The 24387-nt window shown below is 46.3% G+C and overlaps 1 annotated feature.

Annotated features, from left to right (window-relative positions):
• Nucleotides 21457-21751: an enhancer, noted in NCBI's record as "tiled region #4639; HepG2 Activating non-DNase unmatched - State 12:CtcfO". NCBI's record gives its function as "activates a minimal TATA promoter and a strong SV40 promoter by Sharpr-MPRA in HepG2 cells {active_cell/tissue: HepG2}" and the evidence as "EXISTENCE:reporter gene assay evidence [ECO:0000049][PMID:27701403]".

Below are 24387 nucleotides of genomic sequence, written 5' to 3' on the forward strand. Positions count from 1 at the left end.
TGGTCTCAGGCTTCAAACTGCACCACATTTGCCAATGTCTGTGGCAGGCTGAAAAATGCCCCCCAAAGTATGTCCACATAATCCCCAGAACCTGTGAACATGACCTTATATGGCAAAAGAGATTGTTGCAGATGCAATTAAGATAAGGATCTTAACATGGAGAGGTTATCCTGGATTGTGGTGGCAGGGGAACAGAGGAGGGGGACTGATGTAATCACAGTGGTGCTTATAAAAAGGAGACAGGAGGAGGTGGAGTAAGAGGAGAAGGTGATGTAATGATGGAAGCAGAGATTGGAGTGGTGCACCTTCAGGATGGAGGAAGGGGCCACAAGTCAAGGAATGCAGGCAGCCACTAGAATCTGAAAAAGACAAGGAAATAGATTCTCCCCTCAGAGCCTCCGAAAGTAACTTCTAAAAGCCCATCTTTTGGCTTTAGCCCAGTAAAATTGATTTCAGACCTCCAACCTCCAGAACTGTAAGAGAATAAAACTGTATTATTTTAAGCCATTAAATCTGTGGTAATTTGTTATAGTGGCAACAGGAAACTAACACAATGCCCCATCACCAAAGCAATTCACATGGCTGAGCTCAGATTCAAGAAGCAGAGAAACCAGCCTAGAGGTGGGGGAGCGGCAAAGTCACATTGCAAAGAGGTGTGCATTCAGGGAGGAATTATTACAACCATCTTTGCAAATCATCTACCCCAGGGAGAAAGTGAGAAAATAGAACTGTGTACTGCATGGCTCAGCTGTGAATATTGTTTGCATAGTCATAATAATGTGAATGCTGAATATTGATCTAACCTAAATTAGAATACAAGTATTTTGAGAGAAAGTGAGACACGGAACAATGAGTACAGGGGAGGGTGGTGAAAGAGAACTAAATACTTATATTTCATCAGAGGAAGTCAATAGGTATTAAAAGATAAGGCCCATAACCGAAAAATCCTGAAGTAGCAGTATAAGCATGTTATTTAAAGAGGTAAATACCTGAAGAGATAGCCAAAGGAAAAGGAAAGGGGATGGATTTGCCAGAGACTTCTGTGTGCTCATAAAAAGCCTCGTAGAAGGATTTCACTGTTTAAGTTACATGCATGTGTCGATGACCAGGTACATAGAAACTAGTATTTTGAAAGGAAGGTGCACTACCTTTCTTTTGGTTGTTGTAAAGATATCATTTTATTTAGAACTGCTTCACTTATATAACAATACAATCTCTCACTTATAACCCAAAGCCAATGCTAAAAGCTACATTTTTTTCCTCACTGATGAACAAATAAAAATAAATTTAAAAGGCAACATTTTGCACAAATACATGTAGATAAAACTAAAGGGCCTCCAATAGAAATGAAGACTCCAAGCTCCATAGCCTGGAGGCTGATAAAAGGCCACCATAACGTTAGCAAGCGTTTGCCTGATAGTTATAAAGGTAATTTATACCCAGAACATTTCCACGCATGTGAGAGAATGACCCTCCATTTTACTACATGTTGTATTAATGTCAATCAATATATGTTTGAGGGCTTTATACATTATGGATAATAATGTTGGTGCTTTGCAAACCATTCCTCTTGGGGGAGCTACACAAAATTCTGCAGGAGAGAAGAGAGCAAAGCAACCAAGCCCTGGATGGCCAAGCTCTCTTTGGGTTCAGCAGATGTTAATCAGCTCAGCTATGCAAATGAGACTAGAAGCAGGCCAACTCCCAGACTGAAAACAGAAAATGCCCTGAGAGTAGGTGAGGCCATTTGAAATGAGAAAGTGGTATCTGGATGTGTTCAGGAAGGAGGTTGGCTGGACAGGGGACTTACTCCTGGCCCACGATGCTGTGCCAAGGAAAGACAGCCATGTGGGGGACTTTAGCCAAGTCACTTAGTTACTTGAACTTCTCGGTGGTTGCTTTGTAAAACTGGGCACATCAATCACCTATACAGATGCTCCTCAAGTTACAGTGGGGTTACATCCTGATAAACCCATCGTTAAAAATATTGTAAGTTGAAAATGTATTTAATCTACCTAACCCACCAAACATCATAGCTTAGCATAGCCTACCTTAAATATGCTCAGAGCACTTACATTACCCTATGGTTGGGCAAAATCATCTAACACAATAAAGGGTTGAATATCTCATGTAATTTATTGAATACTGTACTAAAAGACAGAAACAGAATGGTTGTATGGGTACTTGATGTACAGTTTCTACTGAATGTGTATCACTTTTACACTGTTGTAATGTCAGAAAACTAAGTGAAACCATTGAAAGTTGGAGACCATTTGTACTTGGAGTTGTCGTGAGGATTAGAAAATCTATATACAGTTTTATTTTATTTTATTTTATTTTATTTCATTTCATTTCACTTCATTTCATTTTTTAAGAGACGGGTTATCTCTCTGTCACCCAGGCTGGAGCGCCGTGGTGCTATCACAGCTCACTGCAGCCTCGAAGTCCTGGGATCAAGGGAACCTCCCACTTCAGCATCCCAAGTAGCTGGGACTACAGGGGCACGCCACCATGCCTAGCTAATTTTTTGATATTTTGTAGGGATGGGGCCTTACTATGTTGCCCAGGCAGGTCTTGAACTCCTGGATTCAAGCAATCCTCAGGCCTCAGCCTCCCAAAGTGCTGGGATTACAGGTGTAAGCCACTGTGCTGGACCCGTATATTTATTTTTGAAATGTTCAATTTCTGCTGGTGGTAAATTAAATTATTGGGCTTGATTCTTCCCCTTTCTCTGCTAACACAACTTCCGTCATGCAACTTGGCAGTCCATTCTCCTTCCCCAACTTGACTTTGAGCTTGGCCAAATGACTTCCTTTGGTCAATGGAATGTAGCTAGAAACCTGTATATCAGTTCTGAGCTTAGATCTGAAGAGGCCTCACTTGTTTCTGCTTGCCTTCCTGTGCCTCTGCCATTGGCCAGCTCTCCTGCTGGTCTAAGAGGGATGAGAAACATATGGAGCAAATCTGGAACCAACTTGCAGCTTAGAGTCAAGCCCAGCTGAGCCAGTCAAGATTAACAGAGCCATCCCACGTGTGAGAGAAATAAATGCCTATGATTGTGCTACTGAGATTTTGTGGGTGCTTTTTACACAGCAATAACTGACCGATACACATGGCCAAGCCAAGAGACTGAAAGGACAAGAGCAGGAGCTGGAAGGGAAGGAATCCAGGCAGCCCACCTATAGGCGGTGGCCATCTGGAAAGCACCTAGAGTGATATGATTTTAGAAGGAAGAAATTCCATGTGCTGAGAAGCTCAGGATATCTTACTAGAATTCTTAGGATAGGGAATTCTTACTCCATAAACAGAGAGTTTTATGCGTTTTTAAATATTTATGCTGTAGGATTTCTTTTTCTCTTTAACTTTTGTGGTGGCCTGCCCATTTTTCAAAGGGGAAAGAAAAAGACCTGTGCACACACGATAGGGCTAAAGAGAAAAAGGAACAGTAAATTCCTGGGGTCCAGGCACAGACAGGGAAATAAGTATAAAAACATTGCTGAGGAAAAGGCCGAAATTCGGGGTGATAAAATCAGGGAACACAGGTGGCTTTTCTTGTCTGGAGTTGCTTCTCCTCTAAGATCTGCTTCTCTCATCCACTGGAGCATCAGCACTGTGTTAGGTTGAAGCATGTAATTCTTTTTTGTTTGTTTGTTTTTTAGACAATGTCTTATTCTGTCACTCAGGCTGGAGTGCAGTGGCACAAGGCACAATTATGGCTCACAGCAGCCTCAACCTCCCAGGCTCAAGTGATCCTCCCACCTCAGTCTCCCAAGAAGCTGGTACTACAGGTGTGCACCACCACACTCAGCTAATTTTTGTTTATTTTTGATTGTTTATTTGTTTTATAGAGATGGTCTCCAACTCCTGGACTCAAGCAATCCTCCCACCTTGGCCTCCCAAAATTGTTGGGATTATAGGTGTGAGCCACCACACCTGGCCTCAAGCATATATTTCTTGTATGCAACCAAAATTTACTTGGGTTTGAATTGAAGGCATAATTCAAAGTTGTTTCACTAGACCCTGAACTTCTTGAGTGTAAGAATGTCTTACTTCTCTGTGCACCTCCTGTGTCTAGCACACTGCCTGGCCCATGTTACATGGATGGATGGATGGATGGATGGATGGATGGATGGATGGTCAGATGATGGATGCATAGATGGATGGTTTGGATAATGGATGGATGAATGAATGCATGCATGGGTGTATGATCAGATGATGGATGGATGGATGGATGGATAGATGGATGGATGGATAAATGGATGATTGGATGTTTAGAGAGTGGATGGATGCATACATGCATGCATGGGTGGATGGATGGATGGATATGTGAATACTCACTTCTTGTAATTTGTGGAAGTGTAAATATATACAGAATAGAGGCATTTTTGCTTAGAGATATTGAGCAAGGATTTCATCTAAGTTCTTAAATCACTTTGTATATTCTAAGTGCTCAAATATCTTTAGCATTATTGCTATCATTTAATAATATTTTGGAGCCTCCTTCACTAGCTGGTAGCTAACAGAACTCATTAAAACAAGTTCTCTGGTATCTAAGACCTTACTGTGTAATGAAATGTTAATGCAGTCTTTAAATTGCAACAGTATTTATATCTTTGATTAAATGTAATTTCTCAGTCTCATTAATTTATATTTTTTGTAGTCTAACTGCTAAGGTGTCAACTGGGGCAGGCATGTTACAACTGATGGCCAGGTGAACCAGATGGTTTCAGAAAATAGCTTCCCTGCCCCATGATGACAGAGTACACTGGGGCCCCAGCCAGCCCACTCTCAGATTGAAGCCACTGGTCACGAAGAGGATATGGTAGCTGGAAAACTCATGCACTGAGCACATCCAGATGAAGAGAACAGCCCATGGCATCGCAGGTCAGGGGCAGAGTATGTTTTCCCAAACACCAGTTGCCTCTGAATACCTTTCTGGTATGTTTTGTGTCTCTCTGATGCCCACGACTTCCCTCACTGCCACCTGGATTCTGCCTCCAACCTCTGAACACTCTCACATGCCTGAGAATACTCCTACCCACTACCTGCTCTCCCCTTCCCTTCCCTCCATTCCCACCTCAATCCTAACCTCAGCACCTGCCCCACCCCGGAGAGTATCCTCACTGGCCCAGACCCTCCCACTGGCAGCATCAAGAGATGCAAGGGGAATTTTCAGGAGCTGCTGATGGCTGCATTGCTAATGTGGCTGAGAAGAGTACCTGCAAATGTCGAGCCACTTATTTCTGTTCATTGATTTCAATTTGCTGTGCAGTCATCTCCTGGGCTCCCATTGGCCCAAGCACTCAGAGCCCTCTTCAAGGCACTGCTGAGAGGAGCTCTGGAGTTCCTGGGGCAGGCCAGTCCTTCATCGCAGGGCACAGCCCAGAGCTCCACGGAAGCAACTTCAGTATGTGGGCCAGCGCCGAGCAAATGGGAAAACATTTTGAAGCCGCAGGCTTCTCCTGAATTAAATATTTACTCATTTCATGCCTCTCCCTCTGTCCATGGAGAATCCAGCTCAAACTAAATAACAAAGGAGGTCAGGCTTGTGATCTGCACAAAAATACTTACCCTGCAATTATAGCAATATTGGGCCTTACAATTAATGCCAGGCCTGTGGAACTTGGAGAGGGTCCAAAGAAAAGCAACAGAAATGATGAAGGGGCAGAGAGATAAAGCTAGTAGGAAAAGCTAGAGAGGTAGGACTTGTTTTAAATGGAAAAGACCTTGGGGGTGGCTTAATTACAGTCTCCAATACATTTTGGGGCTGGAACATGGCAACATGGGATCTCTATTTCCACTAGGGACACGCTTAACCTCTACCACCAGGTTGGCCACCTCTTGTGTCCAAACATTTAGATCTCACTTCCCTGTTAATAAAAACACATTGAGCACTCACCCGCTAATTGTGCTCATTCATTTAATTTTAACTTATAGAAATATATCATTGTACTAACATTATCTTCATTATGAAACATGCGCAAAAATAGAAAATACTCAAGGGTGAAACAAACATAACTTTTTTTTTTTTTTTTTTTTTTTTGAGACGGAGTCTCGCTCTGTCGCCCAGGCCGGACTGCGGACTGCAGTGGCGCAATCTCGGCTCACTGCAAGCTCCGCTTCCCGGGTTCACGCCATTCTCCTGCCTCAGCCTCCCGAGTAGCTGGGACTACAGGCGCCCGCCACCGCACCCGGCTAATTTTTTGTATTTTTAGTAGAGACGGGGTTTCACCTTGTTAGCCAGGATGGTCTCGATCTCCTGACCTCATGATCCACCCGCCTCGGCCTCCCAAAGTGCTGGGATTACAGGCGTGAGCCACCGCGCCCGGCCCACAAACATAACTTTTAATAGACATTCGAAACTGTTCTTCCCACATCTCAGTGGGAGTCCACCTCGGAGTCCACTGTCTAGACTGAAGATACTCCCAGCCGCAAGACCTTCATGACGGCAGGGACCTTGTCATGCCTTTCTTGTCCAGCCCCATATCCCCAGAACCCAGAATGGCGATTGATCGGGATCCCCAGAAGCAGATCCTGAGATGGAAATTCACGTGCGAGTATTTGATTAAGGGCATGCTCCCAGTGGGAGGTGGGTAAAGGGAGCCAGGAAGCAAGACAGGGAAGGGGAGGGTGCCAAATACGAGGCGATTTCCTGCCAGGTCCCCGCAGAGGGAAGCTTGTGCCTGATACTGCCGGGAGCTCTGGAGTGCGAGTTACACCTCAGCAAGGGAGCTGGGCTTTCAGACTCTCCTACTGGTAGTCACTAGTGAACATGGCCTCGGGCCTGGAGCAGGCAAAGCGATGGACACCCCAGGATTTCTCAGGCTCTCTGGGGAGGCAAAGTGGTGCCAGTAGCCTGAGGGCAATCCTCTGAAAAGAAGCCCCCAGTGCTGGCTGGAGAAAGCACACTGCAGGGGGTTAGGGGGCTTGCAAAACATGGGGACTGTGTATACAAGGCGATGGGGGACAGCGACACTGTGCACTATGGTAACTAATTCATCGCATGTGCTCCATTAATGTTTACTGACTGGCGGACTGAACTGTGCAATGCATGCTCCCAAGTAGGTCCCCGTGCTCTCTGTGCAGGGCTGTGGAAGCTTTTTCCATGAGAGTGGCTGGGGTGAGATGGCCAGTTTCCCTGCCCAGGCCTGGATTGCAGAGGAAGCACCGTGAAGAGCGTGGGGAGCAGTCCTCAGGAGATTGAGGCCTTTGTAAAACACAGACAAAGACAAAGCGTTGCCCCAGAGGTGGTGATCTGGCAAGCTGGAACAGAGCCTGCACTTTCAAAAACCATTTCGCTAGGCTTGACTGAGCAGCAGGGACCTGCCGCCCCTGGAAATTTGGGCCAAGGACCGAATGCCCCATTTCCCAGCTCATGCTGTGGCCGTGTGACCTTGAGTAGAGTTTGGCTTCTCTCAGCGTGGACATTTCTGCATCTATTAAAATGAGGCAGGCCAGGCTTGCTTCCTGCCTGGTGCACATGTAAATATTCTGCTTCTGGAAAACTCAGGAGCCTTTGGAAAAAGAGAAATGACAAATACTCAAATACCTGCAGCCACGGGTTTATCCTTTGTAGCTTGGATGGGCGGGCAGCCACCCAACAGCAGAGTGACTTGTTAGATGTGCTCTGAGGGGCCAGAGTTTGTCCTAGGGCCATTTTCACAGAAACTAACACCCATGGTTCCCTGCTATGATGTTATCACCCTCTGTGCTCTGCACTCCATCTCAGATATATCACCATTAACATCTCACCATTCTTGCAGCATTCTTTAATGCAGAACTTTATTTCATCATCTGAAATGTTGTGGAGTTAAAAGTGTGTGGATGTGGATTCTAAGGCCACTGGATTTCTGAGCCACCAGACAATGATCAAATTTATATTTTTCTGTACCATCCACCTTTTAGATGGTGTTTATGTTTCATGTTAAATATAATTCTCTTTGGCTTCCCCAGCTGCCTGGGGCCTAGTTTTGCTCTGTCCTAGAGCAGCTCACCCAGGAGCTGTCTCTCCATGTGGCCTCTGGGGTCGATTTATTTTTCTCCCAATGCCTTAATGAGTGATGATTTCTAGAGACAATCAGATCGGCTGTGCGGGAGATTCAGCTCCATCATTATGACAGCCGGATACATCACAGGCACCATTTTTCAAACCCATGTTTTTCATCACACAGATATGACTTGATTAAACCTTTGTGATATTACATTGGGATATTTGAAAATAGCCTTTAGTGACCAGCATGTGGGTCTTGTTTCTGATAAATCTATTACTGCTACGTGAGTTACTTTTACATATAGGATTTGAGCGCAGAGACTTTGAAGCCAGAATGCCTGGGTCCAAATCCCAACTCTGCCACTTACTGCTGGGTAACTTTGGTCAAGTTACTCAATCTCCCTGTGCCTCAGTTCCCTGATCGATAAACCAGAAATAATATTAGTAATAACATACCTACCTTATAAGGCAGTCACCAGGGTTAATATGTGTGAAGTGCTTGGCACATAGGAAGAGCTATATATATATATAGTTGGCTATATATAGTTGGCTATATATATAGTTGGCTATATATATAGTTGGCTATATATATATAGTTGGCTATATATATAGTTGGCTATATATATATATAGTTGGCTATATATATAGTTTGCTATATATATAGTTTGCTATATAGATAGATAGATATATAGTTTGCTATATAGATAGTTTGCTATATATATAGTTTGCTATATAGATAGATATAGTTTGCTACATAGATAGATATATATATAGTTTGCTATATAGATATATATATAGTTTGCTATATAGATATATATATAGTTTGCTACATATATATATATATATATATATATATATATATATATATATATATAGTTTGCTATTATTATTATCATCATCATTATTTGCTCCACACTACTGGAAACTGATGTTTGAGAAGGGTAAAGGAACTCGCTCAAGAGGTGGGGACATAGAGCCAAATTTTATGTCCAGAATCGATTGTCTGTGCTAGCTGCTACCTGACATTTTTCTCCCTTCAAGGTTGGCCTTTATGTGAAGATAAATAAAAATGTTGCAGAGGAGGAGGAGGCACAAAGATAAGTTAGTTAGCCATATCCCAGACCTTCAACCCCAACAACAAGCAAAAGGAGCAACTGAAGTATACAGTCAGTCAGTCAGCAACCGAGCCTGGATTAAGCATTCACTATGTGCCAGCCCTTGAGGCTCTCCCATGCTATCTAGAGAGCTGGACAGAGACACAACTGACCCAGCACACCATAAGGCATGCCAGAAAAGACACCTGCACCAAGTACTAGGGGAAACAGATGTCTGGGGAGAAGGGACAAGCAGGGAATCTGGTTACTATTGTTGGCTCCCCTAGCTCATTCCTTGTATCAATCCGGTTTCCGTCCACACCTCTGTGTAACAAACAACCCTGAAGTCTCAATGGCTTATAGGAACAAGCATTGTATTTTCTTCAGTTGAGCTTGGCTCCAGGCTGCAAGTTGGCTTCAGGGCTGCTTCATGTATCTCTGCCTTCTAGATCCAGCAGACACCAGCACAGGCTCTGCCCACAGCAACCAGCAGGCGAGCAAGAGGCTAACACAAATGCACAGGCATATTTAAAGCTGTCAGTCTTGTTACTTCTTCTGACTTCCCATTGACCACAAGTCACATAGCTCAGCAGTATTAATGACACAGTGAAGTTCACTCTGCCTCCTCTGTCAGGTGTACCTGCAAAGTCACATTGGCATGGTTGTATAATCCTATCATCAGGATGGGGTAAAAAATTAGGAGCAAAATGCAATCTACCATGAGTGCCATGGGCGTGGGCAAGGGCAAGAAAGGAGAAGAATGCAAGTTTATACAAGCACTAAGAGCTGCTCCAGGAAACAGGGTGTGGCTATTATATTTATTAGGTGAGAGACAGACACTCGACTCAAATTCCCTCCCACTTAAGCAACACCAGAATACATTTGTTCCATAACAGGGAAGTCTGGGGGTTTATGGAATTCCAGTTTGACTCTTTCCAAAGGCTGAAATGATGTTGTCAGGATTCAGTCACACATTCTCCATCTCTCCATCCTGGTTTTCTGTCATTGGAAGTTGGACTTGTCAGCCTGAAGATTTTGTGGTCTTAACAGCTTGAGATCCCAGAGGGAGAGTCTTTCATAGCATTCACAAAACAAACCTCAGGGAAGCTGCGGATTGGCCTAGTTTGCCCATCTGAACATTCCTGAATTAATTACTATGACCCTAGCATAGAATGCTCTGGGTGACCAACTAGAAGGGTGGTGGCTTGGGGACACAATGATTGTCAGCCTGCTCAAGATCATGTGGAGTGGAAGATAGCCACTTCCCCAAGGGGAATAAGGATATTATTTCAGGACAAAGAGAAAATGAATGCCAGGCACTCCTAAAGATTCCAGGTCAGTAGGTGCTTCCATTATATCTCACTGCCTAACCAACCACCCTGGAACCTAGTGGCTAGTCTACCCTGGGCTCACTTATGTGGCTGCTATCACATGATGGGTTCACTAAGACTGGAGAGTCTAAAATGACCTCATTCACATGTCTGAAATTTGGTGCTGGCTATTGGCTGGGGTGCCTCAATTCTCCTCCACATGGCCCCTCACCCTCCAGTTGGCTAAACTGGGCTTCTTCACAGCATGGCAATCTCAGGGGTCCAAGAGAGGATGAAAATTCAAGCTGCTAGGTTTCCTAAGGCCTAGTCTCGGAAGTCACACAGAATCACTTCCACCACATTCTATTAGTCAAAGCAAGTTACAAGCCAGTCCAAATTCAAGGGGAGAGAAAATAGACTCCACTTTTTTTTTTTTTTTTTTTTTTTTTTTTTGGACAGGGTCTCTCTCTGTCACCCAGGCTGGAGTGCAGTGGCACGATCGCCAGGCTATTGTATTTTTAGCAGAGACAGGGTTTCACCATGTTGTTCAGGCTGGTCCCGAGCTCGTAAGTTCAAGTGATCCACCTGCCTCGGCCTCCCAAAGTGTTGGAATTACAGGCGTGAGCCACCGCTCCTGGCTAGGCTCCACTTCTTGATGGAAGGAGAGGCAAAGTCATTTGGCAAAGGGGCCTGGGGAATGAGAGGATTTGTTGCAGCCATCTTTGCAAACCACTGTAGGTTTGGGGTGAGCCCAGGACTCTTGGTTGCCAAGCTCCCCACACCCAGATGATATAGACAAGAGTGGTCGGGGCACACATTAGGTTCCTCACCACCGCAGTACCGCCCCTGTCAGACTGCTCCACTCACCCCCTACCCAAATCTCCCCTTCAAGGCAAACCTCAGGCACACACCTTCAGCAGGAAGCCTGCCTTATCCCTCTGCCCTCAGTCCACTCCTGCAGCCACTGTTCTAGGGTATTCTAAAACCACTACTGTAGTCTCTTTTCTTGCCTTTTCCACTGTGAACCTCTAAAGCAGAGACTTTCTCTCCAAGATTACCAGATCTTGGAGGGCAGAAAAAACATCTTAGTGACAAAGACCCTGCTCCATGGCACTGGAGACAAGGCAAGGCCCTCATCAACACTTAGCAACTGACAGATGGAGAGAGCTGCCACTCCCTGTGGGACTCTGCCTTTCTTCCAATGCCTCCTAAGATAAAAATCCCATCCCCGTGATTGGGTAGCTTTCCAGCTCTTTTCTACGGGGAAAAAAGAGTAAAGGTAGGGGAGCAAAAGGGAGAAGAGCTGAGCTATAAAACTGCTGAATCCAAAATGAAGGAGGGAGTAGAGCCAGTGTGCAGCTTTAATTCAAAAGAACAAAAAAGAATACTGCCATCACTACAAACCACAGGCTCTCTCAGTTCTTGCTACCTCACCACCCAGTAAAGCTGGCCCAACTTCAGCACTTTGCTTGCCTTCTGCAGCCTGGCTTCACTCCACGGGCAATGAAAACCAAAGCCCAAATGCCTTTCTTCCATTTCTCATTCATTCAGTTCTTAAGTAACCAGGAAAGAGTATCATATTAGGAATCAGAAGAAGTGGCATTATCTAATGTTAAGTGTGTCTGCTATTATCTAATCTCATTAGAGAGGCCAATGTAATATTTGTAATATATTGCTGGACTCGCATAAGAAAGGAACTTGATATAGGAACCCACAGGGGTTACTGCTACGAACTCTATGGAGTCCACCCTCACCCACCAAACCCCAGTTTCTAGAAAGTTCAATCGTGAAGTGTAATCCCACCATTTGGAAGAAACACAAGATCTCCTCCCACGCCATTCGGCAAACACCAGGGAAGCATCCTGCCCTTTTCTGGGGCTTCCATCTTTGACAAAGTTTCCAAAAAGTCTCCAGACCATCTGATAGGCATCCCATGCACATCTTATCAAAAGCATAAAGCTGCCTTATTTCCTTTGGCAGAGGTGCTTGTGACGTAACTCCAGAACCAGTGCTCAGCTGGAATGTGGACTGCCTTCCAAACGCATGCCACACTTCCTCACAGGGACTGCCCTTGCCTCTGCCTGGATCATTTGCGAGGTTTGAAACGCATCCATATTAAACATAGACTACAGCATTTTCCTTCCCATCAGCATTCCACAGACTCGATATCGGGAGACAATTCAGCCCGTTGTACTTAGGTGGAAGGCTGGAGTTCTGACAAGCCATTTCATGAGAAATATCCCTGAGAAATTGAGAGGGTTGGCTGACAGCTGGTCACCACAGTGTGATGTGTGCTGAGAAGGTCGATGCAGTGAGATCCCTTCGTTCATCCACTCAGCAAATGTTTATTGACTGGGTACTAAGGAGCAAGCCCCAGGGAGTGGTAGGATGCTGAGCCAAGGAGTGGACCCTGCCCTCAGGAAATTCACAGTCTGGCTAGGGAGCAAATTCCTTCCCAAACAACCGCTAGAGAATAATGCACAGCCTAGAAGTGGTAAAGCTTTAACCAGGAGACAGAAGAATTGGAAATAGTGAAGTCAGAGCCCCGGACGTTGTATGGAGGAAGTGAGATCCAGCCCATACCAGCTACTGGGCTAGGAATGAGTTCCTCTGGGCTCATCAAACCAGAGACATTGGAGATAAGATCTAGAAGGAGTAGAAGCCTGAGGAGGTGGTAAGATAGATTGGTGAGGCAGAGGGGTTCAGAACAGGCTCAAAACTCATTCCATGTTTTCTCTCTCCAACTGTCTGTCTTTGTGCCTGTATTTCATTTTGTCTTTTTTCTGTGTTTCCCTCTTTCCTCTTAGACCTCCTCCTTTTCATTTCTCCTCCTCCTCTTAATCTCGGCTGTGTCTGTCTCACTCCTTCCTTCATCATCATCTCTTTCCCTTTCTACATTCCCCTTTTAGATTCTGATTTCTTTCCATTCTTTTAACCTCTCCATCTTTTCATCCTTCAATCTCTTTTTCCCCTCCCCCAACTCTGAAAAAACTAGACAAAAGAAGAAACTAAAGGACATCTTTTTTGGCTCATTTACTTCAAGATTATTCTGCTTGATTTTTTTATTTTGAAAAGTAAGAAGTGAATCAGACTTTAAAGGGGAAAAAAATAAACAATATTCAAGTTTCAGATTTTCATAAGTTGCATCATGTGTGCTCTTCAGTAGGTATTGGCTGTGTTCACTGCTATCAAACACAGAAGAAATGCTGAGATTATTTTTTAAAAACCCACAGGGAAAAATAGCAAGAAAAAAAAGGTCAAATAATATGGACAAGCAATTCATAGATAGGAAACCTCTAATGAATAAAAAGAGGAAGAGATTGTCAACCTCCGCAAATTATCAGAGAGATGCAAATTAAAACAACATTAGTTCAAACATAAGACATTGGCAAAACTTATGAAGCTGAATAAAACCAAGTGCTGTAGAAGATGTGGGGAAAGGGGAACTTTCATGCACTGCTGGTGGAACTGCAAAGTGATATGTCATTCTGAGGGATTATCTGGCAATGCTTAGGAATGAAGTCTGTGTAAACCCTGTGACCCAGAAAGCCCCCAGGTCTTTACCCCAGAGATGCGTGTGATGATGGTAGGCACATATGACAGAATTCCATGTAGCAGTCAGAAACAATAGACCAGATTTACATACAGCCATGGACAGGTCTTTAAGACAGCGTGTTGAGTGCAAAAGGAAAAAGATTTATAGCTTTATATTAAATTACTATTCTTATAAATTAAAAGCACATGTATACCCACCACCCCCCCTCCAAAATGCCATATATCTTTTAAAGGAAATATATCAGAGTGGGTGTCAGACCTAGGGGTAGGATGGGGAGAGGAGAATGGAGTAGGGATGAAGGATGTAGAGGAAAAATAAGAAAACAAAACAAGAGGGATCTATGCTGGGATTGATGAGGCTGCCAATGAGGTGCATGGGTAACTCAACTCCGCATCTGAGGCCAGAGGACAGAAAGATGAGAAGAAAGAAATGAAGGGAAGGAGGAAGACAGAGAAGGGGGAAAGAAGACAAACATGGTCATTGTCCCCAAGGAGTGCATAGCAGGCCTGACAGGTTTTATTTTTAAGAGGAGAAAAATAAAGTTCAAAATTAAGCCTTTGAAAGACTTGTCCAACGTCATATGGCAAAGAGAGGCTTGATCCCAGGTCTTCGCATTTCTAGTCCAAGCTCTTCTCACTGCCTTTTTTCTCAAAATGCAAGGAAGTCATGTGTTCTCAATTGTCCAAATTCAAGCATTGTGCCAGATAACCAAGATGGCATCCAAAAGGATGAAGGGAGGAGGAAGGCTATTAAATAGGCTTGATCACATGGATGAAGACTCTGCTCTGACCATGCCAGACAGCTGGGCAGTGGCTCAGAGGGGCTGGTAGCCAGTGCTAAACAAAGCAGCAAGGAGATTCAACGCTTGAATGAATACCATTCCCATATCCTCGGGAAAAGGTGGAACTTGCCGAGAAACTATTAGGAGGCTTTCTCTACCACTCCTTTTGCTGCTCCGGGCTGCTCCAGAGATTTCCTTTCATCCTAACTCAGCTTCACGTAAATATGTATGCACTCAGGACTTGTTCAGTTGTAAAGGAGAGAAACCCCACTCAAACGAACTGAAGGAAGAAAACACAGGGGTGGGAATTATCTGTCCCCATAACTTGCCATTTCATGGAATGTAGCCCACTTTGGGCATAGCTGGATACAGAGCTTTGAGCTACGTCAAAGAACACAGCCTGTTCCTCTCTGTCTGCCTATGTCTCTCACTCTTTCTCTGTGTCTGCCCACCCCCCACACAACCCCCACGCCCCTGCTTCCTCTGTTTTCCTCAGTGTTGGCTTCATTCCAAAGCAGGATGTCCCCTCGCTCCCAGTAAAGACAGTTGCTGGCCAGTCCAGGCTGATATTCTACCCACTCAGCAACACCAAACACTGGAGAGTGTCTCTTTGCCCATAACAGTAAAAAAATTGCAGGAAGGGCTGCTATTGGTCTGGCTTGGGTCATGTGCCCAAGCCTGAACCAATATAGCAGCCAGGGGTATCCTGAGCTCTGATTGGCCTGGGTCATATACCTACCACCAAAGTGTGTGTGTGTATAGGAGGAAGTGTTAAGTTCAATACCAAATGTGGGTAGTGGTTACCCAAAAAGGAAATCAGGTTGCTATGTAGGCACAAAAAACAGATATCTACTACTGTGTGTGTGTGTGTGTGTGTGTGTGTGTGTGTATTTGTATATGTATTTATATATATCTGTATACAACTTTGTATGTATTTATTTTTTGTTATTTTTACATAGCTCATATGATCACATGGCTCAAAATCCCAAAGATACAAATAAGTGGACAATGAAGAGTTTCCTTCCCATGCTTATCCCAGCCACCCACCCAGTTACCTTTCTCCGAGGCAGCCAATATTATTGGGTTCTTATCTTTCCTGACAAACATAGTGTGTGTATATACAAGCCAACCTGCAAACAACCCTTTGCCCTCCCCCCACATCCCCTTTGTACACAAATGGATGCTTTCTATACCAGGGGTTCTGCCTCTGTTTGCATTTTGTGGTGGAGGGGGAGCAGTTTGACCCTGGAGGAGACACACCTTGGCAACCTCCCTATCCTCCCCACCCAAAGGCTGACCTGGGCAGGGCAGGGTAACTCACTGGGGCTCACAGAGCTCTCCCCAGCTGTTTGCTTGGGGAGAAGCCTCCGGCCCACAAGGGAGAAGTTGCAAGGGAATGCCCCAGGAGCTACAGTACCGGTGCACACGCACACACGGGGATCATGGCCTGCCTCAGACCTGACACCTATTTTCAGGCCAGGCTAGAAGACTAAGTGCAGGTCTGGACACCCCTAAGGAGGTGGTCACTCTACTCTCCCCGAGCAAGAAGGATTGGCTGAGCAGAATACAGCTCTGGTTGGAGGAGCCAGTGCTGAAGAGGGGAAGGGAGATGACCTTGCCAAAGGTGGTCACAGCCCAGGGCAGCTGTAAAGGGCTGGGCTTGAGCACCACCTTGGTTGGGGCCCAAGAGAGCCTGAACTTTGGCCTCTCTGGCAAGCAAGTCCCCATCCTGAGGCAAGCCACCTCCATCCTCTATCCCTGTCCTGAAAAAGAAAGAACCAAAGCGTGGCCTTCATAATTTGGGGGCCCCATTGCAACATATCCACAGCAGTGGTTTAGCTCTGCTGCTGGTTAAGTGCCATCCTTGCATAGGTGCTTTTCCAATATGATCCCACCTAACCCTCACAACCATACTATGAAGCAGGAAATAGTATGATTCCGCCTTTACAGACGAGGAAACTGAGCCTGAGCTGGGAGTGACTCAGCAAGGATGCAGACCCAGGTCTGGGCTGTACCATTCAGCCTCCCTGTGTGCAGGGGCTGGCAGGCCGTGCCCATGCTCACCTCCCTCCTTTCCCCCTGCTGCTGCTGGGCAAACTTCCAGCAGGACCACAAAAATCAGAAGTCTGAAAATGGCCAATCACAAGTAATGGTAAGGAGGCTCGAGTCACACCTGACATTCATTCACCTGTTGATGCTGAAACCCAGGACAGGTTTTTCCACGTGCCTGGAGCATCCCAGCCAAACGGAGGTGGCTAGGTCCTCTCCTTCCTTCCTCCGACCTCAGTGGGAGCTGCATGCTTCTAATGGCCAACGACGTGGAGAGGCGCAGAGCAGCTTGGAGCAGCGTGGGTCACAGCGGTTAAGTGTTGTCATAATTCTCTCCCCTGGAGCAATGAACTCCATCTCCCTCCAGTCTGTGTGGGAGGAATGTAATCCAGTTCTCCTTGGAACTCAGAGCACATAGTGACTCCTTTTTCCTTTTGTGGTCAGGAAATGAGTTTTGCTCTGTTTTTCACTTGGGGGCTTATTATGCAATTGCCTAAAATATGCAACGGGATGCAGATATTTATATGAGGATGTTGAAATGATGGCTTTTTAATGGAAGTAATCTAATTATGCCATATCTGTACCCTTTTCATTTTTAAAAAATTGTTCTTATGGTGTTTTAAGGAAGAAAAAATATGTGTGTGAGTGTGCATGTGTATGTGTGTGTCTGGGTTGTGTTTTTGTTTTTGTTTGGGGTATGTGGTTTTATTTAATCTCCCAGATTGTTTAAATGGATTGCAAAGGAAAAAAAGATCCAAAAAGTATATGGCTGTGATTTAACAAGATAATTAGCAGCTGCACTTTATAACAAAATCTAAGGCAATTATCACTTCAGGAGGACCCGGAGGAATCCCAGCTGCCAACATCCTGCTTCGCTGCCAGAGGGAATGACATCATAACTGCTCCAGACAAAGGGGAGGTGGTTTCTGGTCACTGTGATGTCACTTGCTCCAGCAGACAGTCCCAGACAGCTGGGAGACAGGTGGCCGCTTCCTAGGACATAAGAGAAGAGGATGAGCACCAAAAGGACATCAGTGCATTACAGGCACAAATCCTGCTTCCCCCAGGCCACTTCCATTGGGCCACCAAGACAGATATGTTTCCTCAGGCTTTTTGCCCCAAGCCCTCATATTACCTTCTTTTGAGAAGTTAATTGTTCTTCTCCTCTTCTCTGGAACCTCAGTTCTAAATCTTTATCCCAACTAATCAACTTCAGTGGCTTTTAGGGTCTTGCTCATGGTCAGGTTTACCACTTAGCTAAAATGTGTCCCTTCAAAGATGAGAATTGCTAAATTGCATTGGACAGCAAGTCAAAGCAAGCTTAAAAACAAGATTTGTATTTTCACCTCAAAGTTGCTTTCTTTCACCCTGTGGCCAATTATTTATCAATCTAGGCTCCCGGGTGCTTTTTTGATCAAAAACAGAGCACTCTAGCACAAAATTGTCTAATTCTAAATAGCAAACTGGAATTTGTCGTTGATTGAATTTTATGTGTAAAATTGAGCTAGGATTATAAGTTCTAGAAAATGTTTAAGTGTATCCTGGGATAGCCCACAACTGAATGCACCGTCGGTCTTTTGATGGTTCCAAAGGATGGATAAAACAGATCTGATTTCCTTGTAAATTGTACAAGTTACAGACCAGCAGGCTGACTCTCGCCACAGGCAGCCAAATGTGCCTCCCACCCACACTCGTTCGTGAAACTATAAAGTGGCAGCCAAGGTCTTGTACATCTCATTGCCAGATGACATTCTCGGTGCCCGGGTGGGAATCTGTCCTCTGTCCTCCAACAGATAAACCATGAAAAAATGTGTGCCTATTCATGGGCACTGTCTTCCACCATCCCCCAGCACCTTCTCCTTCCCTCCTAAAGCCATCCCCCTTTGGCCCAAGTTACAAACTAGGGGAGAATAAAAGGGTCAGGACATCTCTCATTCCTTCTCCCAGCCTCAGCTAGGAGGCTTCTGGGTTACATCAGAAATAAAATGAGACTTTAACAGAAACAAGGAAGGCTTCAACTCTTAGATCTCACTCAAATACTGAGGCTAACACCGGAGGTAACAAGGACAGGCATGCCCAGAGTTCAGCCTCCCTCTGGAACCGGGCAGAGTTCTGCAGCCGGGGACTAAGTGTACAGCCCACACAGCAGATCCTTTGGCCCAATGCCATTCTTAGCCTTCTAGAAAACTTCCTGCTTCCTTTATGGAAAACAGGTGTCCATGTCTTCATGCATTAGGCTAGATGCCAGGCAGGAGCCTGGTGTAAGGGGCTCCTGTTATCTATTGCTGCTTAACAAAGTACCCCAACCTTAAAGGTATAAATAACCAGTTTAGCACGTTCCTAGATTCCCTAGGTCAGGAATGCAGACAGAGTCCAGCAGGGGTGGCTTGTCAGTGGTCCCCAATGTCTGGGGCTTTGGCCGGGAAGACTTGGAAGGCGGAAGTGGCTCAATGGCCAGGGGCTGGAATCGTCTGGAGGTTTTCGTGATACAGTTTGGATATTAGTCCCTGTCCAAATCTCATGTTGAATTGTAATCCCCTATGTTGGAGGTGGGGCCTTGTGGGAGGTGTTTGGGTCATGGGGGCAGATCCCTCATGCCTTGGTGCTGTCCTCTTGATAGTGAATGAGTTCTTGCGAGATCTGGTTGTTTAAATACGTGTGGCACCTCTCCCCCAACATCTCTTGCTCCTATTCTGCCATGTGAGACGTCTGCTTCTGCTTTGCCTTCCACCATGAGTGAAAGCTTCCTGAGGCCTCACTAGAAGCCAAGCAAATGCTGGTGCTATGCTTCCTGTACAGCCTACAGAACTGTGAGCCAATCAAACCTCTTTTTATACAAATTACCCAGTCTCGGGTATTTCTTTATAGCAATGCAAGAATGGCCTAACACACTTCATATGTCTGGTGCTTGAGCTGAAATAATTCAAAGCCTGGAACAGTTGGCCAGTGCATCTACAGGTGGCCTCTTCATGTGGATTGGGCTTCCTCCCAGCATGGTAGCCACGAGTCAGACATCTTACATGGCAGCTTGGAGCTCCAAGCATGAATGTTACAGCAAACAAAGCAGAAATTGCATGGCCTTTTATGACCTAGTCTCAGAAGCCACACAGCATCACTCTTTCAGTAGTATTTTGGTTGAAGCAGTTACAACCCACCCCCACCCCCCACCCCGGATTCAAGGGGAAGGACCAGAGAACCTGCCTCTGGATGAGAAAAGTGTCAGAGAATTTCCTGCCATGTTTCAAAACCGTCAAGGGGCTGACTTCTGTACAGTACCCACTTTCACTGTCAGCCAGCCTTGAACACAATATTCTTTTATCAGTAGCAGTGACATTAGGGCAACACTGGGGATGGGGAGGAGAATGGGGAAGTGAAGGGCCATGAGCAAAACTTTGGTTTGTCTTTTTTCAGCATCTGATTCTACTCTCATTTCTTCGAGTCCATCATAGTCCCTCTTTTCCTACCCTCAAAGCCTGAGTGCAGGTGAGGTTAGCCCTTTACGCCACCCCAGGGCTTCTATCCTGAGAAGCAAAGTGCTAGAATAGAAAGCGATAGATAGATTGTCTCTGAGATTATGGCCTGGGTTCTTGGCACAGCAGGATTCTAGGGTGTTTGTTTTTCATTCCTGTCCCAAGAATGCACCTGATAACCTCCCTGGGCCTCTAAAAAAGCACCCATCATTTGTACAGGTCCTTCCAGGTGCTGAGATAGGAAAAAAGAGGGATCCCCAGTCAGGGCTGGAAGGGAAGCTACCTCCCCTCCTCTTGGGGAATTCAACCCTGTCCTTTTTATGATTGAGGGAACCAAAGCTTAGAGGGGCTGTGACTTGCCCAGGGTCACCAGTGTGTCAGCGGCTGAGTTGGAACTGTGCAGAATTCACCCTTCACCCTGGGGCATTTGCACCCTGGGGCACTTTCCACAGTCGACTGACTGCGGGGAGAAGTGGGAGGAGGTTACACTCAGGGCAAAGCCACTAAAGGCCAGCATTCGACCAGCTCAGCCAGCCTCCCTGGGCCTCTTGGCAGCTCTGGGCCTGCAGGGAGGGTCCTACCCACCCCAGCCAACCCTCAGAGGCCCCCCAGGCTGCCAAGGCCACGTCACCGCAGCCTGCGGTCTGCCCAGCTAATGGCAGCTGCTGCGAGGGGAGTGGAGCCGCAGTAATTACAGCATCAAGGAATCACAAATGGATCTGCAAAGATGACATTAGGAGCATTAGACCTGGCACGGCTGCCTCCGGAGAGGTCGCTGGGAGGAGGCTGGGGCTGGGGCCTGGGGATGGGAGACAGACGTGCCTCTGTCTCACCCCACCCCCTTCGTTCCCAACCGGGGCTGCGATGACAATGCCAGGATTCACAAGCCCCTCGCAGAAACCACATCGGCCGCCAGTCTCGTGTGTGTCAGCGAAGATAACAGATGTCTTTCACAGGGAAGTAATTGCTTGAAACACAACTGGACAACCCCCCAGGAGGTTGCATTACAGGAAGGAACCTTGCTTTTGGGGCCGAAGGTGGGGGGGTGGTGACCTGGTAGGCAGTCCCCTCCCCAATTCCCTTGATCCTTTGACATCCTAATGAGTTGTGCTGGCCTTGCCTCTTGCAGTCCGCAGCTCTGTGGAAGGTAATTATTATGTCAAGCCTGGTTGAGGGCGTTGGTGGTGGGGCGGGGCTTCCTGGGTGGAATTTGTGGCTGGAGGAATTCCCCAGAGGCTGGAAGGGGTTAGCAGAGGAAGAATTGGGGGAAGGGCCAGGCCTTGATCAGTTACCATCCTCCAAAGCCTGAGAAATGGGTCTGAAGCGGCAAGGCTGCCTTTGGCCAAAGCTAGCACCAGTAGGTGTCACTGTAGGAAAGGAGGGGCCCCCGGGGCTGTCTGCGGATGGGGCTGGTAAAAATAGAGCTCGCCTGTGTTCCCACTGCCAAGTCGCCAAGCCTGGTGATTTATAAGGCTGGGAGCAGACGTGTGTGTAAATGTTTTTGCGTGCGAGATGTGTAACCAACCGCGGGCTGGCTTTTTCAAACTTACGAGGAGAGAGTGAGGGAGGGAGAGAAGGGGAGCGAGAGAAGGCAGCCAGGGTGGGAAGCACATGGGCCACTTTTATGTAACACTCCTCTGATACACGCCGCAGTGGGGATTTATGCTCTCTTTGAAGTAAATTGCATCCCGGTGCACCATAGCATGAAAGTTAAGATTTACCATGGCTGGGACCTCCGAGACCCTGCTGGAAGCTAGAATAATTAGCACAGCATTTGGCTGCCTCTCCTCCTGCTCTGCGGGCGGTGACAGGAGTGGCACTAATAGATCTTCCAGGCCTGAGCCTCGTGTGTTTGTCATGGGGTCCATGGTGGCTGTGGGCAAGGAGGACCGTGATCAACTGGAGAAATGGAGGTGGGGGGAGGGACTGGGACTGACCTTATTGCAGGGGACAGTGGGACCTGCCCCACCAGGGAGGAGCTGGGTGACAAACCAGCTTGGCCCCACAGGGTTCAGGTGCCCCTCTGTCAGGGGTTGGGCCAGAGTGCGTGCTTCGGTAACCCAGGGAACTCATTTATAAAACAGATTCCAGTGCCAGACTCCCAGCTTGCTGCAGGTGGGAGTCCTGGGGCACTCCGCCAGTTTGGAGGTCCCCTGGATTATATCAACTCTCATATTTAATGTTTTTCAAAAGGCAGTGCCTAGGACTCCCATCCCTCCTGACTTTTCTCCCTCTTCTCCCCTCCTCTTCCTGCAGGCACCTTCCCTGTGTCATTTCTCAGAGGCCGTGCATTTTCATGCTGGAAAAGCTGAGACTTGAACTTGATCAACAAACCCCAGAGTCCCACAGGGAAAGTCCTAACAGCCGCCTGGTCACTCCAGTTCTGCCAAGAAACAGCTGCGTGGTCTTGGACAAGTCCCAGCCCTTCTCCAGGCTTCAGCTTCCACACTGTATCATGATGGGGTTGGATTTTTACAAGATCATCTTGAAGGCCTTCATTAACAGTCCGTGATATACTTGACTCTCCCCCTCCCCTGGACACCCTCATGGAGCTCTAAGGAATCAAAGCATAGAAGTAATGTCCCTCTGGGGTTCCAGGTGCTGCGGTAGTACACCAGTGTTGGGAAGAAGAGCTAGCAGCACCGCTCACTATGAAGATTCTAAGTGCCTACTCAGCAAGGGCTTTCCTGAGGTTGTAATAAGCTCCTGGATCAGTTAACTCTTCCGCAAGGCAGAGCAGCTTTCCAGACCCCACTTCATCATCACAATAAGTAAATGACAGCCTGGGCAACAAAGTGAGACCCCACCTCTACGAAATTAAAAAAAAAAATTAATTAGGCAGGCATGGTGGCATGTGCCTATAGTCCCACTTATTTGGGAAGCTGAAGTGAGAGGCTTGAGCCCAGGTTTTCAAGTCTGCAATGAGCTATGATCGTGCCACTGCACTCCAGCCTAGGCAACAGGGCAAGATCTTATCTCAAAAAAAGAAAGAAGGAAAGAAGGAAAGAAAAGAAAGAAAGAAAGAAGGAAAAGAAAGAAAGAAAGAAAGAAAGAAAGAAAGAAAGAAAGAAAGAAAGAAAGAGAGAAAGAGAGAAAGAGAAAGGGAAAGGAAAAGAAAACAAAAGACTCTCACAACATTCTTTTAAGGTTGCGAATAAAATTGTCCCCATCACACATCTGAGGAAACTGAGGCTTTGGCCCAAGTGAGTCAAAGGAGTGTGATGAAAATATAGATTTTGAAATCAAAATAAGTGCAAATCTCATCTCTGTGGCATGAGCTGAGTGAAATAGGATAAAGGGGAAATTCTCAAGGCCTCGGTTTTGCCATCTGAAAAATGGGCATTGAGTTGAGGGCTAAATGAGATAGTTCATGCAAAAAGGACTCACAAGGCTGTCTCCTTGTAGATGGGGTTAACGAACAGAAGTTCCCAGGCCACTGGCTGCAGGGTGCGTTTGTCTCCCAGGTCTTGCATGGTTCTTGGCAGGGATCAGGCCCAGTAAATATTTGCTGAACTGGATTACACCAATGCCACAACAGAGGCCTCACTGTCAAACCATGCTGGGGAAGTAGCAGATAAAGCTGTGAGGGCCACGGAAGGTTCTCAAAGGGATCAGGGCCAATAGCATAGAAAGAGGAAAAACTGAGTTTAAAAAGCTCATACTGCAGTCTGAAGCCCCATGGAGGCTGGGACCAGACTCAGAAGGGGACAAATGTTCTTGGGTAGATTCTGAAGGACAGATCCCCAAAATGTTCTGAGCAACCTTTCAGATCAGTTTCCCAAGCCTGGCAAATTGGGAAAAATCTGATCAATGAAGTGGAAGCAGCAGCCACAAATGCCACATGAGAGTTCTGAATGAACTGTCTTCCTGTTCCTCTCCCTTGCCCCCACCACACCCTCTACACCCTGAATTCCCATCTGCCATGTAGACATGGGTGTGGGAAGGAGAGATAAAGTGGAGGTTCCCTTTGGTGTAAATCCTGGACCCAGAAAGATAGGGGGATCTCAGAGTTACCTTAATAAATCATCAATCTCTGTCCCTGTTTCAGGTTCTCCAGCCTCAGGTGTCTTCCTGAGCTGAAAGCCAACGTGCATCCCAAACCCTAGAGATGTCCATAAAATCTGCTTTCTGCCCTTT

This window comes from Homo sapiens, chromosome X (genome assembly GCF_000001405.40).
Source record: "Homo sapiens chromosome X, GRCh38.p14 Primary Assembly".
Classification (NCBI taxonomy): Eukaryota; Metazoa; Chordata; class Mammalia; order Primates; family Hominidae; genus Homo; species Homo sapiens.